Here is a 23,872-nt window from a genome sequence, read left to right on the forward strand (position 1 = left end):
TTGAGGGAAAAAAAAAAAAAAAATATATATATATATATATATATGTATATATATATATATATGTAAATGGACTAGCTATCCAAGAATTACCAGTCTATTTTCACAAATAAAGATATTATGAAAAGCTTTTTTTACAGTTGTGTTTGCTTTAAAACCATTTTTTAATTAGAAAAATCCACTGAAGCTGCGTAGACAGCAAAACATGATCCCATAACAATATTTAAATATTCTATGCTTTATTTCTGACCTAATCTTTCTCTTGTCTTTCAAACTGAAACCATTCTACTTTGCCATTTTTAGTAAATTCTTCATTGAAATCAAGCAAGAAAACAATCATCACTGTATTACTTATGATAAGGTCAGCTTTTGTAGTAAGATTAATTCTAAATCTTACAATGGTTCAAATACAATTCATGTTTAATTGTTGCTCACATGAAAGTATTGGGCAAGTAAGTAGATATGTGGGTTAGCCCTCTTCTATCCAGTGGCTCAGGGAATCAGTGTATCAAAAGCTTTGTTCTATTCAATAAATGGATTCTAAGGTCTTCCTGGGTGTAGTCTCTCTTCTAGTTAGATAGCCAGAATTTGAAGCTGCCTGGAGAAACAGGCATAGGAGTTGTCCATAGGCTGTGCCTGGAAGAGGACATCTCACTTTTGTTCACATTTAATGTGTTATAACTTTGTAAAGTTACCTAACTAGTCCCAATTTGGGCAGTCAATTAGCAGCAAAATCCTACATAAAGGATTATTAGTGGACAATCACATTCTATTTGTAATTCAGATTTAACTGAATATTGTGGCAAATATGTTTTATTCACATATTTTAACAAATTATTTTATAACAAACCTATATATCAAGAAATTTATATCTAAATAAATTAGCATGAATCACTAGAAAACAAAGACATTTTTTCACATGATGAACAGTATGACACCATTATTACATTTAATAAAATCATCAGTGATTCTATGTTATCATCTAGCTCGCTGTGAAATAGAAATATCTTTGTCTCCAAAATGTATGTTTACATTTATGTTGTTCCAAAAAAGAGTCCTAGCCACCCAAAAAGCCAATTTTTTTATTATGGTCTTTTGAACTTTTATGATTATACAATTTAATGTTTTAAAATATTATAAAAGCATAACTCATAAATGAAAAAAATACATTACAATAAACCCAGCAATTATATTTATCATTGTAGCCTAGACTAGTGAAACTTTATAATGGAAAGGCACTAGCTCAAGGATTGGCACTTGGGAACCTCCACTTCAGTCCCACCACTAATTATCATATAATGAATGAATCAGAGGCCCAGAAAAAGTACACTATTTACACAAGGTCACCCAGCTCATAAGAGTCAAAATGCAGACAGATCTGTATGCTCAGACCTCTGGACTTTCAGTTGAAAATTTTTGACATTCCTGAGTTAAAAATGTATGAAGACTGATTGAAATATTGAGTATTACATAGTATTTATATATTTTGCTTAGAAGATATATATGCCAAATATTATGATTTTAACATATGATTGAAAAAGACAAATAAATATCACCAACAAAAAGTTGTCACATACAAATGATTTTATAACAACCTCCGCTGAAGGTGGCTGAATTTTATGTTTGAAATTTCATGTTGCATGATCTAACTTAATGTGATAAAGAAGTTTTCAGAATAAGACTGTCAAAGAAAGCAGTGACACAAAAGCATGAGCTACACATTTTGTTCTGTTCAAAAAACTATTTCTGACATCATAATGAGTTCTGCAGGGAGATTATTAGACTTATCATCTTGTAATGATGAGAATTCGTTGCCATCGTTGTCCAGCAATGTCTTGAACTCAATGTCTCCAGCTCATATGACCATATGCCCATATTGAACTAACCTCATCATTGCAACAGTAGAAAAGAACAACCAAATATATTTGAACAAACCCTCCTCTTCCAAATTTCTCAAAAAATCTTGACTTCTTATTGGTTTGTTTTTAAAAATTTAAGTAATAACTTAAGCCTAAAAAATTGACAATTTCATGTTTTGGACTCATAAAAATAAAGTAATAAAGTATGATTATGATAAATAGTTGAAAATATTACATGTTGTCTTGACAGTTTATGATTTTCAAAATTTGAATTGTATGTGATTTGACAAAATGTATTATTTTGTTATCAAATACATGTTGTTGCTTGTAATGTCTTTTCCTCTGCATTCAACTTGAAAAATTATATGCCAGTAAGATAAATAAAGATCCTAGTGAAACAATCTCCTAAATCAAGGAAAGAGAGAGAAAGAAACAGACATATCTAGTTTGTCTTTTCTTTATTCTATTCAGCCTTTAAACAACAGATTTAATGTCTGAGTTTAACTGCAAAAAATAATAGTTCACAAGAAACCTCCAAACTTAAAAATCTTATATTTGACTTGGTATCCCTCTTGCTGATTTACTGGCACCCAAGAGTTGCATTAAATCAGAAGCTAACAGCCATTTTTTAGTAGATATGTCCTCAGTTCTATAAAATGGCTTTTCTTTTCCTTGCAGAGCAGGCTTAATAAATAAAACCCTCTTTCACACTGGAATTAGACCCAAACTTTATTTTACCTTCATACAAAACAATCTGGATACACCATTTCTGAAATAATGTTGAAAAAGATGGCATTATATTGTAGCACATTCCAGTTTGAAGCGAGTGAAGCTGTATCAAAAGAGGTTCTAAATCATTTTTATATCCCCATAAATATGCCTGAATTCAAATCCAAGAACAAATATTATGAAAAACAATGTATTTATTGAGGTACAACAGGAATTACAGCACAGGGTAAGGCAAAAAGAAAATAGCTGTCAAACAGCCCAGTTGTGATACGAGAGAAGGTTCTAAAATTATAGCCAGAAAACCTGAGTGTGAATGCCCACTTGATCTAGATTGAGTTGTTTAATAAGTTCTTCTCTGAAGAAATCAGAAAAGTAATACCTTTCTTATCAGATTTTGAGAACAATCAAAGAGATCACTAACCTAAATTGCAGTGCCTGGCACAGAGCTTGGCATTGTAATTACTCAAAAATGCTCATAAAGTTGAAGGATATGATTTGAGATAAGTCAGTGCCCCCTATTAAAATACACCATACCACACATAAAAACACGCATATAATGCACAATAAAAACCTGTAGAGCACTATTGTAGCACAGAAATCCTTAGTATTTGTTGTCACTCCTTGGAAAGTATGGTCTAAGTAGCTTTTAATCTTAACTGTGCTATGATACAGATTTTCAGAAGGGAGTAATATATACCTAATGTAGCAAGAGCTAATGTTAACATGATTTTTGCTTTGTAAGCCCTTAAGCAGAAAGGGACAGTGTGATGCTGAGATGTTGTGATTATTATTGTCCTTGTTTTAATGGAGGACCATGTTGATTGATGGCTAGCTGAAGAAAGACTACCACAATTTGTGGAAAGAGAAGCAAGCAGTAGCATATAAAATTATGGAAAATGTTATCTACAGATTCATAAGGTGTTGCTAAATACAAAAGTAGTAGGACCAAACAACTACTTACTGCACAGTTTGTCTTTGAGTTAATTATATAATGTATCAAATTAAATACACAGAAATTAAGTCAGAAAATATGTACAGAGGCCATGCTATTCTTTTATAAAACCACCTTATAAAAATCCTCTCTCAGTTGCACAAACTTTATTCTAGTGACTATTCATTATTTTTGTATATCAATGATGGCTTACTGTAATTAGTAAACCAGTTACAAACACAGCTGTGTTTTCCAAATGATCCATATTTCAGTATGATTTGTGTCTATCCCTTTGTTGTTGTTTTTATTTATTCGAAACTCTTTTAAATAGCAGATCTGTTGAGAATTTAATCAAAGGTATAAAACTCTTGGCAGGAAAAAATTCATAAAGAAGCAACATTTTGAACATGCTTTGAAGGTATTTGAAATAGGATTTCTTCTATTTTACTTGAGAGAAAAATGCAGGAAGTAAAAATGCAAGCAAGATGATAATGTATTAATAATTAAGAAGAAACCAATGGCTTTGATTACCAGATCACCTCAACCATGATGCATTTATGGGTGAATAAAACTATATACATCCCACATTCATGATGGTTAAGAGCAAGGAATCAGTTCCAGAAGAACTCACAATTAATCAAGTTAGTTTCCTCATCCATAAAACAAACATGATACCTGTTTAACTGGATTATTCTAAATATTAAATGAAAGTGTATATCCAAATCACATAATAAATTGGTTTGAAATTGGCATCTCATATTTTTATGCATAACATGAAAATACCTAGAATTTGAGAAATCTTGCTTTCCTTGATTTTCAAAATCAAGGCAACATCCCATGATAGGTTAATCAGCTACTACAACTCCTGGCCACTCAGCTCTTTTCCTCATGCTCAGCTCACCCCTGATATCCTTCTTTCTGGGTTTCTCCCATCTCCTCATCCACAGGAGCCATATCAACCACAGTTCATTCATTCACAATTAATGCCTTCCCAACCATGCAGCCTAACATTTTGTTAATCCTATAAACCAGTTCATGCAAATGGACCAAGAATAAAGATGCTGTTCCTTCCCTACCCCTCATCAGATCTCAGCCTCCTGATACTCCATGAGTATTTTTGGAGGTATATTCTATAAAATTGGCCCTTCATTACTTTCCCTCCTTAGTTCAATATAATTAGTATATATGAATCTATCTTTTGCTAAGTAATGTTAACTAGCCTTGGGGGAAGGCAGGTTCAACAGAGCAGGCAAAAAAGTAAAATGTAAAAATAAATATGGTAAAGACACTTTCCTTGATATGGTTAGTTAACTACAGTTGTTAAGACAGCAGACTAGGTAAGATGAAATTGGTATTCTGTAATAGATGAATGAAAGACGGGCTGGGCACAGTGGCTCACGCCTGGAATCCCAGCACTTTGGAGGGCGAAATGGGTGGATAACGAGGTCAAGAGATCGAGACCATCCTGGCCAGCATGGTGAAACCCCGTCTCTATTAAAAACAGAAAAATTAGCTGGGCATGGTGGCGATCACCTGTAATCCCAGCTACTAGGGAGGCTGAGGCAGGAGAATCACTTGAACCCGGGAGGCAGAGGTTGCAGTGAGCAGAGATCACGCCACTGCACTCCAGCCTGGCCAACTGAGCGAGACCATCAAAAAAAAAAAAAAAGATATACTTTTAGGAAAACGACAAGTCTAATAGTTCAAAACAAAACATTTTGCCACTCTGATTTGTCAATAATAGATAGTAGCTAAATAATTAGTAGTAGAAAAAGTTACAAGGAATTTTAATTAAAGTGGAAGATCACATATTTAGAAACAAGAAAATTTATGAGAAAATTTGCAATTAGCTCAAACAAGACTATACCGCTAAAATATCTATCCACATTTTTCTAATAAATAATTATTTTACTTTACAATCTTCCAAAAATATAAACATTATTTGTTTATAAACACACACTAGTTTTCCATTAATTTATATTAAATGTGAAGTGTGTGATCAGTGAATTTTTTTGAAGTCTCATAGAAGGTTACTTTTCAAAGAAATTGAAGATTTTGTTAAGACTTAAAATACTGAGGTGATAGATTTACTGCTGACTGGATCTGGGTTATTTCTTCAGTGAGACATGTTTCAAACAGCTGACACTGTTGAGTAAGCAAAAAGAGATGCTTGACTTTAAGCAACATGAATAATACTGTTCATCAACAAATGTGCAAGATACTTGAAAGTGCATAATCACATTCTTTCTCATAAGCTGTCAGCTTGATTCTGTCCCCCAGAGGATAACAAGTCTTTATAAATCTACCATGGCTATGTGACAAGGGAAAACGTTCATCCAAGACACAAGCACAAATTCTCCTTGCCATGGACCTCTGCACCCAAACTAGCAGCAGCAGAAGTAATTGAGGGCCACTTTTCTCATAAACAGAGAATTCTCTGATGCCATTTCCAGAGCTACTTATTTAGGAAACAGAGTATATACCTCTCAACAACTCTATCTAGAAACCAGAGTTTTTACCAGGTTCAAACCAAACAAAAATAAGTCAACCCTGTGTGACCTTCTGCAGGCAGAGGCTCCATGCTGATTGTTGGATGGCATTTGACAAGTTTCACTGCTTTGTACTTAAAAATACAAGCATAAGCGAACGTTGAACTTAATATGATTATTTTTGTTTCAGTTGATATTTTAAAATAACACCATTTCAATTTTATCCACAGTTCTTCTAGAAAGTAATCACACCTATATCACAGTGTAATTTTGAGGAGTAAATGAGTTTACAAACACAAATCACTTACTGGATGCACTAAATAAATATTAATGACTACAGAATTACAGCCTATTACATATTGCAGTGTGAGGTTATACAATAGGCTTAATTTTTTCATGTAGTAACATAGGGAATACCTATTGGATTAAGAAAGTCATATAGAAATAAACACAAAGAAAAACAAAGTATTATTGGAAAAGTACAGCGAAGTATTTATCTTTGTTTCTAATATCAACTGTACAAAAATAGATATGTTAGTATTCAGCATTTTTCTGAAGACAAAAGGGAAGAGCAAATATTAAATAATGTGATCAAGCAAAATTCATTATGTGATTTTTTTAAATTATTTTTAAAACTTCATCAAAATAGTGTAAGTTTTTAGTATAAACCTGTATAAATTATGTACTGACATTCATTTCTTTTAAATAAATAAATTTTTTTATTTAATTGCCTACTAAACTTGGGAAAGTCTTTTAAATTATGAAATAACTATTAACTCCTTTAAAACTTTTTTTTTTTTTTTTTTGAGACGGAGTCTGGCTCTGTCGCCCAGGCTGCAGTTCAGTGGCGCGATATTGGCTCACTGCAAGCTCCGCCTTCCGGGTTCACGCCATTCTCCTGCCTCAGACTCCCGAGTAGCTGGGACTACACATGCCCGCCACTGCGCCCACCTAATTTTTTGTATTTTTAGTAGAGACAGGGTTTCACCGTGGTCTCGATTTCGTGATCTCCTGATCCGCCCGCCTCGGCCTCCCAAAGTGCTGAGATTACAGGCGTTAGCCACCGCGCCCGGCCTATTCCTTTAAAACTTATAATGCAGTTTATGGCTCTACTTCGCTAAAAAAATTAACAAGCATCTTTTGAATTCTATTGTAAAGACAAATCAATCATTAATTTAAAGTGAAAATGTGCCTTTCTGAGAATTTTTTGTCTGGAGAAAATTTTGATGAAATATTTACTGTTATCGGTTATAAATGAGAAGAAGAGTGTGAACATTCTTCAGAAACGAAAGCCCACATCCTTAACTAGGAAACTGCTGGCTCCCACATTGGTGATTTTTTTTTTAAGGTTGTAAATTGAGATGAAAATTACAAACATGACTAACCAAAATAGTAGAAAAAAATTTCCTTTTTCAGGGATATTAACATCAAGTCTGTCTTCACTGATTGAACGCTCTTGATATTTAAGCTCTCAGAATGTTATATTTTACAATGCCACTTCAAGAATAACTTAAAAGAGCCAAAGATTACGTGAGATTTAATGTAAAGTCAACATAAAGACATGGTTAGGGCTTAATTTACAAAGACAATTTGTGTAAAATCTTTTCTTCCACATTTTGTTTTGTTTTGTTTTTGTTCTATTTCCTTTAAAAATGTTTCAGTAATGTTGGAGTCTGACAATTTTATTTTTTTTTTTATTTTATTTATTTATTTTTTTCAGACGAAGTCTTGCTCTGTCGCCAGGCTGGAGTGCAGCCGTGCGATCAAGGCTCACGGCAACCTCCGCCTCCCGGATTCAATCGATTCTCCTGCCTCAGCCTCCTGAGTAGCTGGGACTGCAGGCGCCCGCCACCACGCCCAGTTAATTTTTGTATTTTTAGTAGAAATGGGGTTTCACCTTGTTGGCCAGGATGGTTTCGATCTGTTGACCTCGTGATCCGCCCACCTCAGCCTCCTAAAGTGCTGGGATTACAGGCGTGAGCCACGGCCCATGGCTTTTTTTTTTTTTTTTTTTTTTTTTTTTTTCGAGATTTAATCTTGTTCTGTCGCCCAGGCTGGAGTGCAGTGGTGCCATCTTGCGGCTCACTGAAACCTCTGCCTCCTGGGTTCAAGAACGCTATTTTACCTCAACCTCCTGAGTAGCTGGGATTACAGGCGCATGCCACCACACCCAGATAATTTTTGTATTTTTAGTAGAGACAGGGTTTTACCATGTTGACCAGGCTGGCCTCCACCTCCTGGCCTCAAGTGATCCGCCCGCCTTGGCCTCCCAAAGTGCTGGGATTACAGGTGTGAGCAATGGCGCCCAGCCAGACAAATGCATTTAGATAAAAATTCAGTAAGTGAACAGTGTCATCAAATTCTTCCCCTTTACATTGCATGTAACTCTGTTAATTTGACTTAAAGCCATGGAAACTTGAACTAACATAAAAACTGAGCGGTAACTGAGCTTTAACTTGTAAGATAAAATTTGTGATGTTCTACAAGCTCTGCTATAACCCCTTCTGAAATTGTGCTAAGAAACTTAGCTCTAACATGCAGAAAAAAATGTTTGGTATAAATATAATTCTGTGTACAATTACCTACAGACTTAGGGATGGTGCTGTAAAATTTAAACATAATAAATAATTTAATAATAAATCATAATTTTTTAATTTTTAAAGTTATGAATTTTTCATTTGCATTCTGGGACAGGAAGGTTGATGCAATTTTTTTCACAAAACACACCCACCCACTGTATTTTTGCCATAATGAAGAATAATGCTCACACCGATAGATAAAATTATGCTTATCTGTAATAACATGATTGATTGATTAGATAATTAAGCCATGTATGCTACAAAATCTTTCATAATATGCTTTTTATATCTTGTTTATTGTTACAACATGTTTTCCTGCATCCAAAAAGTATTTTCAGACAAAAAAATTGTATTTGCAATAGGGATATGTTCTGAGCCTATGTAATAGAAACATTCAACCTTGCTAAGAGTTTGTAATGTAATCAAGGTTGGAGTATTTTGAGGAGCATTGAAGAAACATGCAGTGGTGGGGGATGAGGCAGGAGGGAGCTACAGTTAAAAAGTGGATGGCCTTGTATCTTTTGATTGAATGGATTGTAATTTGGTTTATATTTTGCTGTTGCTGCATTGCATTTCATATATTACCAAAAGGAAAGATCCGTATTTCAAATTAATGTTCAAAAATAATAATGAGCACATTACATGAAAAAATAGATCTGATTTGAGAATATCTAATGTTTTGCAATACCAGCACTTGTAATTTTTTTCATTTATACAAATAATGAGAATTCCATACCACATATACATACTAATCTAAAAAGTTAGGAAACTATATAGAATATGCGTGATGAAGTGTACTTTACACAAAGTAAGTTCAAACAATATATTTGATTTAATACTTGCTTTCTTATATTTCATTTTTGGATAAAAATTCAAATACTTATGCAGCTGTTTTTTATTATGCAAGGCAACTGTATATAAAAAATATTAATCACTTTGGGAGGCTGAAGCGGGTGGATCACGAGGTCAAGAGATCGAGATCATCCTGGCCAACATGTAAAACCCCCTTTCTACTAAAAATACAAAAAATAGCTGAGCATGGTGGCGCGCGCCTTTAGTCCCAGCTACTCATGAGACTGACGCAGGAGAATTGCTTGAACCCAGGAGATGGAGGTTGCAGTGAGCCTAGATCACGCCACTGCACTCCAGCCTGGCGACAGAGCAAGACTCTGTCTCAAACAAAAAACAAAAAACAAAAAAAAAATCACTCATCAAAATAGTGAAAGGTATATTTTATCAACTATCAATTTATATTTTTCAATATTGACACCTATTATAATTAGTTGGTATTCAATGATAAGGGCTTTTGTGTTAGTAAACATTATCAGTAAAACAGATTTACACAGGTAAATGATTATAATAGGAACAGTTATATCTCTACATTTGAACTACAACAAAATTCTAGTAACACCTCTAAAAGTTGGCATAATGTCAATGCAACTTTGCTGGTCCTATGTCTTATGACATTTAAAAACTGTACCAAGCCAGGTACAGTGGCTCAAACCTGTAATCCCAACACTTTAAGAGGCAGAGGCGGGCGGATCACGAGGCCAGGAGATGGAGACCACCCTGGCTAACATGGTGAAACCCCGTCTCTACTAAAATTACAAAACATTAGCCGGGCGTGGTGGTGGGCGCCTGTAGTCCCAACTACTTGGGAGACTGAGGCAGGAGAACTGCCTGAACCGGGAGGCGGAGCTTGTAGTGAGCCGAGATTGTGCCACTGCACTCCAGCCTGGGCAACAGAGCGAGACTCCACCTCAAAAAAAAAAAAAGTGCACCAATAAGAAAATGTTTAATTCATTTGAGAAAACAATAGGTTAAATAATATTCCTTAAAAGAATAATTTTAGGGCTGGGAGGATAAGATGGCTGATTACATGCAACCATCTCATGCAGCGGGGTCGTAGCCTAGCTACCAGCCATTACACTAAAGTATCATCTACTAGGTCGTATCCCAAACTACAACACCAAAAATTATCTTGCTAATATGCACACCTGTGAAACTACGCACAAGAATTCACTGGCACATAAAGATCTTGTACAGAGCACTAGCCCTCTGAAAGTATCCAGAAACATAGCCAACTAACTATACTCAACATACACCACAGGTAAAGAAACACCAATTCTTCCAGATGAGGAAGAATCAGCAGAATAATTCTGGAAATTGAAGTGAGAGTGTCTGCTTATCTCTAAACATGTCCACTAGATCCCCAGCAATGGAACTTAACTAGTTTGACATAATTAAAATGATAGACACCAAATTCAAAATCTGGATGCTAAGGAAACTCATCGAGATTCAGGAAAACATTCAAACCCCATCCAAGGGATCCAAAGAATCCAGTAAAATGATCCAAGAGCTGAATGATGTAATAACCATTTTTTTGAAAAGAACCATACTGAACTTTTCACTGCAAGAATTTAATAACATAATCAGAAGAATTAACAGTAGAATTGACCAAACCAAGGAAAGACTCTCAGAGCTTGAAGACTGGTTTTTGGAATTAACTCAGTCAGACAACAATTTTTAAAGGATGTAAAAAGTTAAACAAAATCTCCAAGCAATATGGGATTATACAAAGAGAACAAATCTATGACCCATTGGCATTCCTGAGAGTGAAGGGGAGAGAATAAGCAGCTTGAATATATATTTGAAGATATAGTCCACAAAAATCTCTCTAATTTCCCTAGAGGTTGACATGTAAATCCAACAAATACAGAGAAGCTCAGCTAGATACTACACAGGATGAAAATTCCCAGGGCACATAGTCATCAGATTCACCAAGTTCATCACAAAAGAAAAAGTTCTTAAAGGAAGCTAGAGAGAAGGGTCAAATCATGTACAAAGTCATGTACAGAAACCCATGAGGCTAGTAGTAGACATTTCACCAAAAACTTTACAAGCCAGAAGAGACTGACACCTATTTTTAGCATTAGTTTTTTGTTTTTTGTTTTTCTGAGATGGAGTTTAGCTCTGTCGCCCAGGCTAGAGTGCAGTGGTGCGATCTTGGCTCACTGCAACCTCTGCTTCTCAGGTTCAAGTGATTCTTCTGCCTCAGCCTCCTGAGCAGCTGGGATTACAGGCACGTGCCACCACACCTAGCTAATTTTTGTATTTTGAGTAGAGACAGGTTTTCACACATTGGCCAGGCTGGTCTTGAACTCCTGACCTCAGGTGATCAGCCTGCCTCATCCTCCTAAAGTTGGGATTACAGGCATGAGCCACTGCACCCAGCCTATTTCCAGCATTCTTAAAGAAAAGAAAATACAACCAAGAATTTTATTTCCCACCAAACTAACTTCATAGGTGCAGAAGAAATAAAACCTTTGTTAGATAAGCAATTGCTAAGGGAATTTATTTCAACTAGAACAGCCTTACAAGAGGTCCTTAAGGGAGTACTAAGCATGGAACTAAAAGAATGACACTGGCTACCACACTCGCGACAGATCCTGGAAAGGCTGTAAAGAAAAGAGAACTCTTATTCGTGTTGGTTAGAATGTAAATTATGTTCAGCCACAGTGGCAAGAAGTTTGGAGAGTTCTCAACGAACTTAAAACAGCTACCATTCAATCCAGCAATTGCACTACTGTGTATATACCCAAAGGAAAATAGATCTTTATACCAAAAGACACATGCACTTGTATGTTCATTGCAACACTAGGCACAATGGCAAAGACATGGAATCAGCCTAGGTGCCCATTAATGAAAGATCGGATAAAAAAAAAATGTGGTACATATACACCATGGAATACTATGCAGCCATAAAAAAGGAATAAAATCACGTCTTCTGCAGCAATGCGAATGGAACTGAAGGTCATAATCTTAAGCAAATTAAATCAGGAACAACAACAACAACAAAAAACAAATACCACATGTTCTCGCTTATAAATGAGAGCTAAAATTGAGCACACATGGACATAAATAAGGGAACAAAAGACATGGAAGACCACTGGAAGAGGGAGGGAAGGAGAGGGAGGATGGGTTGAAAAACCACTGGGTACAATATCACTACCTGGGTACAATATACCCATATAACAAACTTGCACATGTACCCCCATATATAAACAAAAGTTGAGTTTCTTAAAGAGTGATTTTAAAACACAGAAGATGCTAAATTTCTAAATAATTCAGTGTAATTCTAGATGATCCTTAAGAGAAATTATGACAACAATTTTGACATTTCTATAATATTTTAACAGAAATTTATTACAGAAATGTTTTAGCAGAAATTTATAAATTAATAATTTATAAGAGAAAGTATAAGTTTTACCTTTTAAATCACTTCAGGAATGTTTGGTGTGTGTTCTTCTTACATATTGCTGTGGTTGAGTCCTGCATAAAAATAAAACAAAAATATAAAACATATTCAACACATAAAAATCTATGCATAATTAAAACATATTTATTATGTCATACATTAAACAAAGCTGAGTTTGGAGAGCAAATACATTTTTGAAGAGATAAATTTTTGAGAAGTTTGAACTGCGAGTTTTTTTTTTCCTTTTTAGGGCATGACATTTTGAAACTATGTCCAGTTAGAATTTTAGCTCCGTCACGTGTTAGCCATGTAGATATGGGCAATTTAGTCTTGTTCTTTGACCTTGGTATGTCACGACATAAAGAAGTTTTAATTTCAGTGTTACAATTTATTTAAACACTTAGTATTATGCCTTAAACATGGTCAAAATTTAAATATAAACTATTTTAGTGATTTTATATAATATTAAATGTTTATGTTATTTTAATAACTTTAATGTTTTATGATTTTAATAACTACTGCACTTTCAAACAAAGAGAATATGAAAGATCAGAATAGAAATCCAAGAAACAAGGTTCAGTATAACCTAAAGTATAATATGATTAACAAGGGAGTATTATAAATCAATAAAAAATATATATTGTTCTAGAATTGTGACTATTAGATATTTCAATAAATTAAAATTTGAATATAATCCCTAATGTATACATTACGTGCATTATACCAAATAATATATATGTTGTATGTATACACAACATAATGCTCATTGGATCGAAGTGTTAACATTGGAAAGTCAATATTAAAAGAAGAAAACTAAGAGGTAAAAATGTGTTCTCAGAAGATAATAATCCCTTTCAGAACCCAAAAGCAGGAGCATAAGAATTATGCTTATTCTCTGACCTTCTTAGCCCAAATCAGCTTACTATGTCCTTAGTTGACAATGTGATTTGATATACGATTTCTATTTCCTAAAACTGATAAAAATTACACTTACAGAGGTCAAACAGATGCCTCAAATACTTTAGGAGTATGTCAGTCATTCAGCAATTATTTATTGAGTATCTACTATGTGCCAAACATTATTATTTATACTAGGAATAAAACACATAACAAAAGAGACAAAAGACACTGCCCTCATGGTACTTTTATTTTGGGAATGCTGGGAGGGGTGGACGAGAGAAAAGTATACATCCAAATAGGCAAATACATATTGTATATCAGGTTATCCTAAATGCTATAAAGACAGAAGAAGATGTGTCAATGTTCATCAAAGTAGAAATGTCTGATACCAGATAGATGACTGGTATCTAAGAGAAAAAAATCTGGAGTTGAAGAGAGTCTGAAGTGTCTGGAAGGGGTTAGCTAGGAATGAAATTTAAGGACTGAGTCCTTTAAAGTCAGGGAAATGAGAAATAGCAATCACTAGGATGAGGAAAGTAGGAAATGGGCTGTGATGTTCTGGAAGTACTAAGAGAAAAACGAGATTTGTAGTAGCTTGGTGGTATCTATCTATCTATCTATCTATCTATCTAATCTATCTATATCTATATCTATATCTATCTATCTATCTATCTATCATCATCATCCTCTATCTACTTATCAGGGCAAAACTTTCAGATTCTATTAGAACACATAGTACTCATAAGCTTCAGGGTTACTAGAACACCTCCATGGACCTTTTCCAAAATGACCTTCTTAAAACTAAGAGGTAAATAATATCTGATGTAACTGATTTCCAAGTTTAATTCCAGGAACTAGTGATGATACAGTGTTCAGGTGGGCTGTCATTAGGAACTGGTGTTAATCATAACTAATGCAGAATATGTATACTGCAACCCATGCTTACATGATTTGGGGTGAGAAGCAGCAAAGATTTCCAATAAATAATTTTAAAAATTGAGTTATTAGAATATTCTACTCTATGGAAAATCATGTGTAAGCATGTGGGGACCTATTTATACATAGCTCACATTTTCTGCTAAGGTTAATATAGGCTCTTTGGAAATAAGGCAAAAAGCATATGGCTGATCATTTTATCTTGGCTCTATTGCTCTATTGCTATCACAGGATAAGCAGCACCCTGTGCAGTTCATAGAGCCCAATGCACAGCTCTGACTCTAAGTGTGATACAGTCTCCATATATAACTGCTTAATATCTGACAAAAGAAAATTAAGTTGTAATAGTTCTTAGCATATTGATAAAAATTCTGTCAATTAGGAAATGTCACCAATAAACAATTCAATTTCCTGCATTGTACACATTTATTTAAATGCGATGAAACAATCCATTCAAATACTTTTGAAAAAGAATTTATAATATTTACTTCTACTAAGAAACATATTTCACTTCACTCGAAATCACACTATCTTGTCTCCTTTATCAATCTGTGTGTGCCTAATGTTTTAAAATGCAACAATTATTTTACAGAAAATTTCAGCAGTATTCATTTTCATGTCTGAGCTCTTGAAATGATAATAAAGTACACTCTTAACTGGAGAAGGAATGTGTTAAAATATACACGTAGTTGTACAAAATGTATTCTCATTTATTATATAGGTCAGTACTTCAAAATTTTCTGTTATTTTGCAGAGCTCTTCATTTCAATTCATTCTCCAATTTATAGGTTTATAATATAATCACAATAACTAAAGTCCCTACAGGTTGTCCATAAATAACAACAGCAAAACCTAATATTATGTGGCAGCATAATAACATAATATTAGAATCTTTTGTTGTAAGTTTCTAATTGCATTTTTATAGAACCAGGCCAAATAAAAATAAGAATTCAAGTTTTTATTTTTAAAAATCAGAAGCTCTCTGTAAGAGTGTCAATAAGAAAAAAAATATGTAGAAAATGTCTGTTGAAGTAAGCTTTTCTCCTGAAGTCATGTCCTCCTCCAAGGAAAACTCATATCCAGTAACTATTTCTTCATCCAATATTTACTCATGTAATTTGCTAACCATCTTTACTATACTTGGTTTTATTCAGCATTCCAATAACTGAATTTAAACAGCAGAAAGGGCAATCCTCCATGTGAAAAGTTGTGTTTGTAATGTTAAACTGCACATAAATTTGGATATTTTAATGCTGTTTAACCTTAAATAAGTATTTCTAACATGATATTGGATCAGCAACAAGCCACCTATTAATTCATGAACAAATTAACTATCACATATGTGGTTATAATGACTTCTAATTTTTATTTATTTGTATTTAATTTTAATTATTTTTCAATTCAATGCCCAATTCTTACAACATGGATGGTTTTGATTATCATTACTTTCATACTTACATGTTCAGTATCATTAAATCAGAAACCGAGAGTCCTAACATACCCTAATACTACAGGAATGGTGAAGAGGTGGCAATTGCTTGGTTTTGCATCCAAAGAACTCAGAGAAAGCTGGTATGAGTAATCAAAAAGTGAACTCCAGGTGTATTGACCCTGAGATTCATATGAGGTCAAACCCTAGTTAAAACCTTGATTTTTGCTAGTGAAGCCCCTGAGCAGAGAACCTAGGTAAGCCGTGTCCAAACTCCTGACCCAAGGAAACCTTGAGATACTTTATCACCCACAACAGAAAACAAATACAGTGTTTGGGACTTGAAAATGGTGTGCTGCTGCAACAAACGCCTAAAAATAGTGTGACTGGCTTTGAAACCAGAAAGTCAGTAGAAGCTGGAAGGATTTGAAGAAGCACAAGAGTGAAAGTCTAAATCCCCCTCAACCAATTGTTAGAAAACTGGATTTTGAAGATGCTCAGGCCCTCAGCCCTCTGAGGGAGGGCTCAGAGGAAAGTGAGGAATGTTACTGAAAACTAGAAGAGAGATGGCACTGTGCTATGCAGTAAAAGAATATTAGCAAAACCATGTACTGTCGTTATGCACCAATCAGAGCTTTTAAATGATGAAATTGGATATATAGCTGATCTTTGAACAACATAGGTTTGAACTACATGGTTCCATTTTTATGTGGACTTTCTCCCACCTCCGCCACCCCTGAGGCCCCAAGACCAACTCTTCCTTTTCCTCCTCCTACTCAGACTACTTAATGTGAAGAAAATAAGGATGAAGGCCTTTATGACGATCTACTTCCACTTCATGAATAGTAGATTTATTTTCTCTTTCTTATGACTTTCTTATTTACATTTTTCTCTAGATTACTTTAGAATACAGTATTTAATACATAGAACATACAAAATATGTGTTAACTGACTGTATATGTTATCTGTAAGGCTGCTGGTCAACAGTAACCCATTAGCAGTTAAGTTTTGAGAAGTCAAAAGCCATTTGTGGATGTTCAGCTGCACAGAGGATTAGTCCCCCTAGCCCCTGTGTTGTTCAAGAGTCAACTGTATAGCTAAATGCCACAGATGCTGCCTGGATTCTTCTTGTAGTTTATAGTAAAATGTGAGAGAAGAGAGATAGGTTGAGGAAAGGGTAGACATGAATAGAAGTAGATGATTTTTAAAATAATTGGCCTTTCCAAGTGGCAAGAGATGCCTACCAAAAATGGCTGCTGAAAGTATGTCTTACAAACAAAAAAAAAATTGAGGTGCGACTGCACAACCTTTAGTTAAAATCTTAGAAAGTTCAAAACGTCAAGAAGACTTAATTCACACTAAGTTCCTTTCCATAAATTAAAGGTATGCCTTACAGATTTTCTCAACCAAGAGCCATAGCCTTTAGATAAGCCGTAAAATCCAATCAAGAAAATCCAACATTTCAGAAGTGTAAGGTACTAGTTATTGCTGTCCCCAACACTTCTGAAATGCTGGATTTTCTTGATTGGGTGTTAGGGACTAGTTATTGCTGCTCATCTTCCATTTTCCTATTTTTGAAACAATGTTGATAAATGTTGTCCTATCCTTGTCCCACCATTATAAATTGGGAGAGTTGGGGGGCAATAACTTGTCTCTTAAGTTGTGCAACTTCACAGTAGAGAATTGTGCTCCAGGGGCTCTACTTACGGAATTACACTGAGGCCTCTTATATATGCTTGGATTTGATTTATAAGTTATACTGACTTGATGATATTTTGATGAGATTCTGGATTTTGAGCTGATGGTGTAATGGGATGAGAATCTGAGGAACCCTGAAAGGGGGTGGACATATTTTGCATTTCAGAAAGACTTAAACAGTTCTGTATTAGAGAGTGGTAGATTCCCACCTCCTATTGTACAGGTACTGTGTAATCATTTTACCTTGAGTGTGGGTAGGATCTAAGAATATGATGGGATAGTCAGCCTGTTAGTATGATGGTACATTATGTTATGTTACATTATAAGACTCCACCATAGCAGGCTGATTCTCCTGCTGACTTGGCAGAAGTAAGATACTATTTTGGTTAGGTCCTAAGGGCTACTTCTGGAAGCTGAAACTGACATCTGGCTAATAGCCAGCAGAAGATGGGAAAACTAGTTCTACAACTGCAAGGAACCAAATTCTTCCAATGAATTAAATAAGCTTGGAGAAGACCTTGAGCCTCAGGTGGGATCATAGTCCTGACCAATACATGGTTTAGCCTTGTGATAGCCAGGTAACTCAGGCCTACAGGCCTGATTTACAAAAACTATGAAATAATTGGATGCTGTTTTAACCCAGTACATTTGTGATAATTTGTCATGTGGCAATAGACCAATAATTCATCAACCTTCATAATAACATTAGGAATCCATAAATTCCTAATTTAACATTTTGCTTAGTTAAATATAAATGCATTGTTTCAGTAGTCCCCAAAGAGTCTTTCATTCCATATTATCATTTTGAGAATGTTAGCAATTGTGAAAACTTTAAAAAATATTATGCCATATATTCTTAAATTGTACTTAACAAAAACCTGGAAAATAAATTTTTAGAAAAAACAAAATAAGGAGTTTGAAAAATAGAGCACTTACAAATTATAAATAAGATTATTTATGAAATGCTTTTATAGCCTATTTGTATGAGTAATTATTTATCCTTTATTTAAATACTTGAAATGTAGAAATTAACAATAAGTGTTTTGTAAATAAGAATTGCTAGAGGTCGGGCGTGGTGGCTCACGCCTCTAATCCCAGCACTTTGGGAGGCTGAGGCGGGCAGATCACGAGGTCAGGAGATCAGTACCATCCTGGCTAAAACGGTGAAACCCCATCTCTACTAAAAATACAAAAAAATTAGCCAGGCGTGGTGGCGGGTGCCTGTAGTCCCAGCTACTTGGGAGGAGAATGGCGTGAACCCGGGAGGCAGAGTTTGCAGTGAGCTGAGATGGAGCCACTGCATTCCAGCCTGGGCGACAGAGCGAGACTCCGTTTAAAAAAAAAAAATGATAGAGAAAAATAGTTATATTCTGTGTGGTGTGGTTTTGTACTTTCAACCTAAAATGATAATTCAGATTGTACTGACTGAATAGCATTGGAAAATCATCAGCAATACAACTCCACTATGTAATATAATTAGAATGCAATGAATAAATAATCCATCGCTCCTTGGAATGTAGAAATTAACAATAACTGCTTTGTAAATAAGGATTGCCAGAGAAAAATAGTTACATTCTGTGTGGTGTGGCTTTGTACTTTCAACCTAAAAATGATAATTCAGATTGTATTGACTGAATAGCATTGGAATGTCATCAGCAATACAACTCCACTATATAATATAATTAGGATGCAATAAATAAATAATACTTTGTTCCTTGATACAAGGTGCTGCTTGTTAGTGTAGGGGTCATTTGTAAGCCAATTTTGTTATAACACTTAAACAGCATTGTTGTTAAATTGTGATAAATGGGAAACCATAAATTGGGAGAGAATTTTAATGGTCATTATCTTCATTAGCTAATGAGATGTGCTAATTATGTTTGTAAGTGACAATAATTTAGTAGCCCTGGCTTAAAGGGCTCACGGAGCAATAACTAGGTCAGTCCTCTTCAATATGTTTTCACAATGTTGGAAGGGACTTGATAATGAGAACCTAAACTTGATAGTAATGTTTTCTATAAAATTATTCATTAAAATGTCTCCTTAAATTATGTCAGGTTTTATGTTGTTCTTCCATAATACATATGCATAAATTCTAAGGTACTGAGAGTGTGGGATCAAAAATTAAATTAAGGTAGTGGTATTTGAAATGTGGCACCTAGCCCCATGGGGATCCCTGAGAGACTGTCAGGGGTGTTCGAGGCTGAAACTATTTTTGTAATAATCAAATGATGTATTTTCTGTTTTCACTGTGTTGACAGTGACAGTGATGCTAAAAAGAAATGCTGGTGGGTAAAAATACCAATGCCTTTGATTTAGCCATTCAGTAATGTCTACATATATCAGTTATCATGTTGTACGCTAGAAATATATACAATCGTATTTGTAAATTAAAAATCGATCAGTTAAGTAATTAATTGATTTGAGAAACACTGGTGCCTTTGCATACATCAAGGAAGTGGCTCTAAACCATATTAAGACTCATTATATTCTTCAACACTTAACACAAGCAGGAAAGAAAGAAGGGAGGAAGAAGAGAGAAAGAGAAAAAGAAAAGAAGGAAGAATGGGGGAAAGAAGGGAAGGGAAGGGAAGGGAGGGAAGGGGAGGGGAGGGAGGGGAGGGAAGGGGAAGAAGGGACAGGGATGGGGGGACAGAGGGATGAAGAGAGGGAAAAAGAGGTCAATTTCTCCTTGATAAAAAAAAATACACACACACAATTATGTACCCTCGAGCATGCATTGTTTTTTGTATTCATTGTGCAGAAATCAGAACTACGCATGAAGCTCTAATACTGTGTTATGAAGCCAAGTACATGTGTGGCACTTTGAGTTGTGAGCTGTGAGCTACACTAGCTGTTCTCTCATGGAACATTTTTACCTAGTTTTTATTTGCGTAGTGTCAGAAAAAAAAATGTGATTGCTTAAAGTTGGGTATTGGATAGATATTTTTTTGACTGTGAAAAGAGACCCTGCCTCTTCAAAGAAACTACTCGTTAGCATTTGTTGCCAGTGATGAAGTTCAATATTTCAAACAAATATAAAATTTTGGAAAGCTTGCATTTGTCTCATGGATTTGACAGTACTGTAACCCTTAAATAATTTCCTGATGAGATTATTGATATTAGCAATTGTGATTTTTAAAATAATGTGTGTCCATGTTGAAAGATACATACATCTTTGTGAACAACTTTTTAAAAAATGATTGATGCATGGGTAAAAAAATGTTACAAATAATATATGGTTAACAAATGTTCTCACAGTGTAAGATTGAACAATGGATTTTAATTAACAAAATATAAAAGTTTAATAAGGTAGCTTTAGGTTCCATTTGGCAATTAAACTTTATAAAACCTACCAATTGTTGAGTTCAGGTGTACTATTTTAAAAACTCACAACTATCTGAAAAAGGATTTTAAAATGCCTCCCTTTTCAACTACATGTATGAATAAAGTTAGATTTTTTTAAGGTGTGAGCTCTTTCATTGTTTACTACTAGCTAAGGAAAAGGTTATGGTATTTTAAATCTTATTTACCTAAATATAAAAATACAAATACATAACAGTATGTAGAATAAATTGCATATCTATTCTACTCATACATAGTCATTAAAATGTATTTCTTTTTCAATCTAAATATTTATTTTGTAAAAGGAATTAATAACAATGTAAACGTGCCTCAAATGCAATCAATTCAAATTATACTTTATAAGAACCTCATTATTATTTTAATACATATGGATAATTTTTCTGAGTTATTTACCTAGTTAGTGCTAACTACAGATATAATAATGCTTCAGTTTAAATGCTACAACCAGACCATGAATACTCTATGAAACAGCGAATTTTGCCAGTGAAGATACTGATGTTCTTGACCAAGTTACTAGTTTGCATATTGAGTTCTCCAAAGAATCTTAATCAAAAAATGCTTTAAAATTATCCCAAGGCATAAAAATGTAAATATTAGCATAATTATTACACAATTACTTCAGCAAATCATTACAAGTTGTGAATGATAGCCCAAAGTCAGATATGAATTAAATATGAAAATATTTAATTTAATAGCGTGTACACATAAATATATAATATATACATGTAATATCAAATTTTTCACCATCCTGTATCATACTAATTCTGAAGCACCATTTTAATCTTCAGAAGATCACGTAAAATGCAATTGGAAATATGGCTGTTGTAGATATCTACATACATAAAGACCCAGAAACCACCACAACAAAACCCCACAAAGCGGAAAAATCTTGTTAGGTATCTAAAGTTTTCTATATGATCCAGTTCATTATTAACAATCAACTATTTTTAAAAAGTCACACATAATAAAATAAGTCCAATATTTTACATTTCAAAATCTTGGTTTTGAAAAATATGTGGCTTTAGAGTGACATAAAATTAGTGCTTCTTTGACAGACTGGGTACATTTTTATGCCCAGCAGGAAAGTGAGCTAAGATATTCATCAAGCACAGTCTAAATTCTCCATTTTACTGGTTGACAAATCTATTGTGGTGACTAGTTTCCCAAGAATGATTTTCTGGCAATAAGAACAAAGATTTAAGGAAAAGAAAAATGATCTCAGGATACAAATTGATAATGATACGAGAGACGAGTGAGATAACCTGAAGATATCTAAATAAACTCAATTCAATCTCAGACGAATGTCACCATTATCTCAATTTTGCCTGAGAAAACACACATCAGTTATTCATATTAGATTATAGTTAATGAGCAACTTTCAAACTACATTTATTTTATATTTCCTCCCTAATATTTATGTCCTTTTCTTTAACTACACTTTCTGTTAGAGTTGATACTTCTCTGAAAAGACAAACTTTTTTTTCCTGGTTATTATAAAGAAAAATAGTGTTTCATTAATACAAAAATATTCCTAAAAGTCAAGAGAAAAAGTCCAAAAAAAATTTAATAAACTCCTTTTTCCTCTATGAATGCCAAGAGTGTTTTGTTATTTGTGAAAAAATATGTAGCAAAACTCCTTTGGAATAAATGTACAGTTTTGTAATTATCTGGATGTATACTATTTCTGCTTGACAAAAGAAACATTCAAAATAAAAGTTCCAGTTTATTTCTGAATGCCCAGGAATATAAGGCTCAGGGGCAATGTAAAAGATTATCGTAAGCTAAGAACATGGACTTAGACCAAGACTGAAGGAGTATCAAAATAAAAAAAAAATTACATTTATTTTCAAATAAGTGGAAAACTGGGTGTACCATTCTGATATACTTATGCATAAAAATTAAAATAAAAAATATAAATATTTTATGCCTGTACCATGCTAGATTTTTACATTGCTAGAGCAATGAGCACTCTTTCTTGAACACCACTGTTATTGGTGATAAAAGACAAGATGTGAAGATTAATTTTATGTGCCAACTTGACTGGACTATGAGATGCTCTGAAAACTGGGAAAGCATTATTTCTGGGTGTGTCAGTGGATGTGTTTCTGAAAAAGATTAGCTTTTGAATTGGTAGCTAGTAAAGATGACTGACCTCACAAATGTGGGTGGACATCACCAAATCTACTGAAGATCTAAATAAACCAAAAAAGGGAAGCAGGGCAAATGCACCCTCTGCTTGAGCTGGGACATCCATCTTCTCCTCCTCTTGGATAGAGGCACTCTCGGTTTTAGGGACTTTGACATGGGCTGTGACTTACACCATTATCTCCCCTGGTTCTCAGGCTTCTGGGTTTATACCGGAACAATACCATCTTTCCTCAGTCTCCAACTTGCCAATGTTAGATTGTAGGAATTCTCAGCCTCCATAATTGAGTGAGTCAATCCCTTGTAATAAATCTCTATCTACCTAGCTTATTGGTTCTATTTCTTTGAAGAACCCTGACACTAGAGAATGCTTTATGCAGGAAAATAACCTGAAAGCTTTGCAGTCTAAACATTTCCTTTTGGCAGCAATTTGAATTTGAGGAGATAAGATATAAATATAGAAATTAGAGTTACACTATTTCCATAGCACAAGAAAAAAAGTATGTTTGTTTGTTTGAGACAGGGTCTCACTCCATCGCCCAGGCTGGAGTACAGT

General features: G+C 34.3%; 1 protein-coding gene across 9 annotated transcripts in view; it reads right to left on the reverse strand.

Moving 5' to 3' along the window:
- The window catches only part of CDH18 (cadherin 18), a 1,104,418-nt gene that overhangs the window by 771,294 nt on the left and 309,252 nt on the right, over positions 1 to 23,872 (reverse strand). For all 9 annotated transcript variants that reach the window (XM_005248228.5, NM_001349562.2, NM_001349556.2 and 6 more), the window contains one exon: positions 12,855 to 12,916. The gene's annotated coding sequence lies outside the window, so the exon portion shown is untranslated. The remainder of the gene's footprint in view (positions 1 to 12,854; positions 12,917 to 23,872) is intronic.

The sequence above is a fragment of the Homo sapiens genome, chromosome 5 (assembly GCF_000001405.40).
Source record: "Homo sapiens chromosome 5, GRCh38.p14 Primary Assembly".
In the NCBI taxonomy this organism is placed as follows: Eukaryota; Metazoa; Chordata; class Mammalia; order Primates; family Hominidae; genus Homo; species Homo sapiens.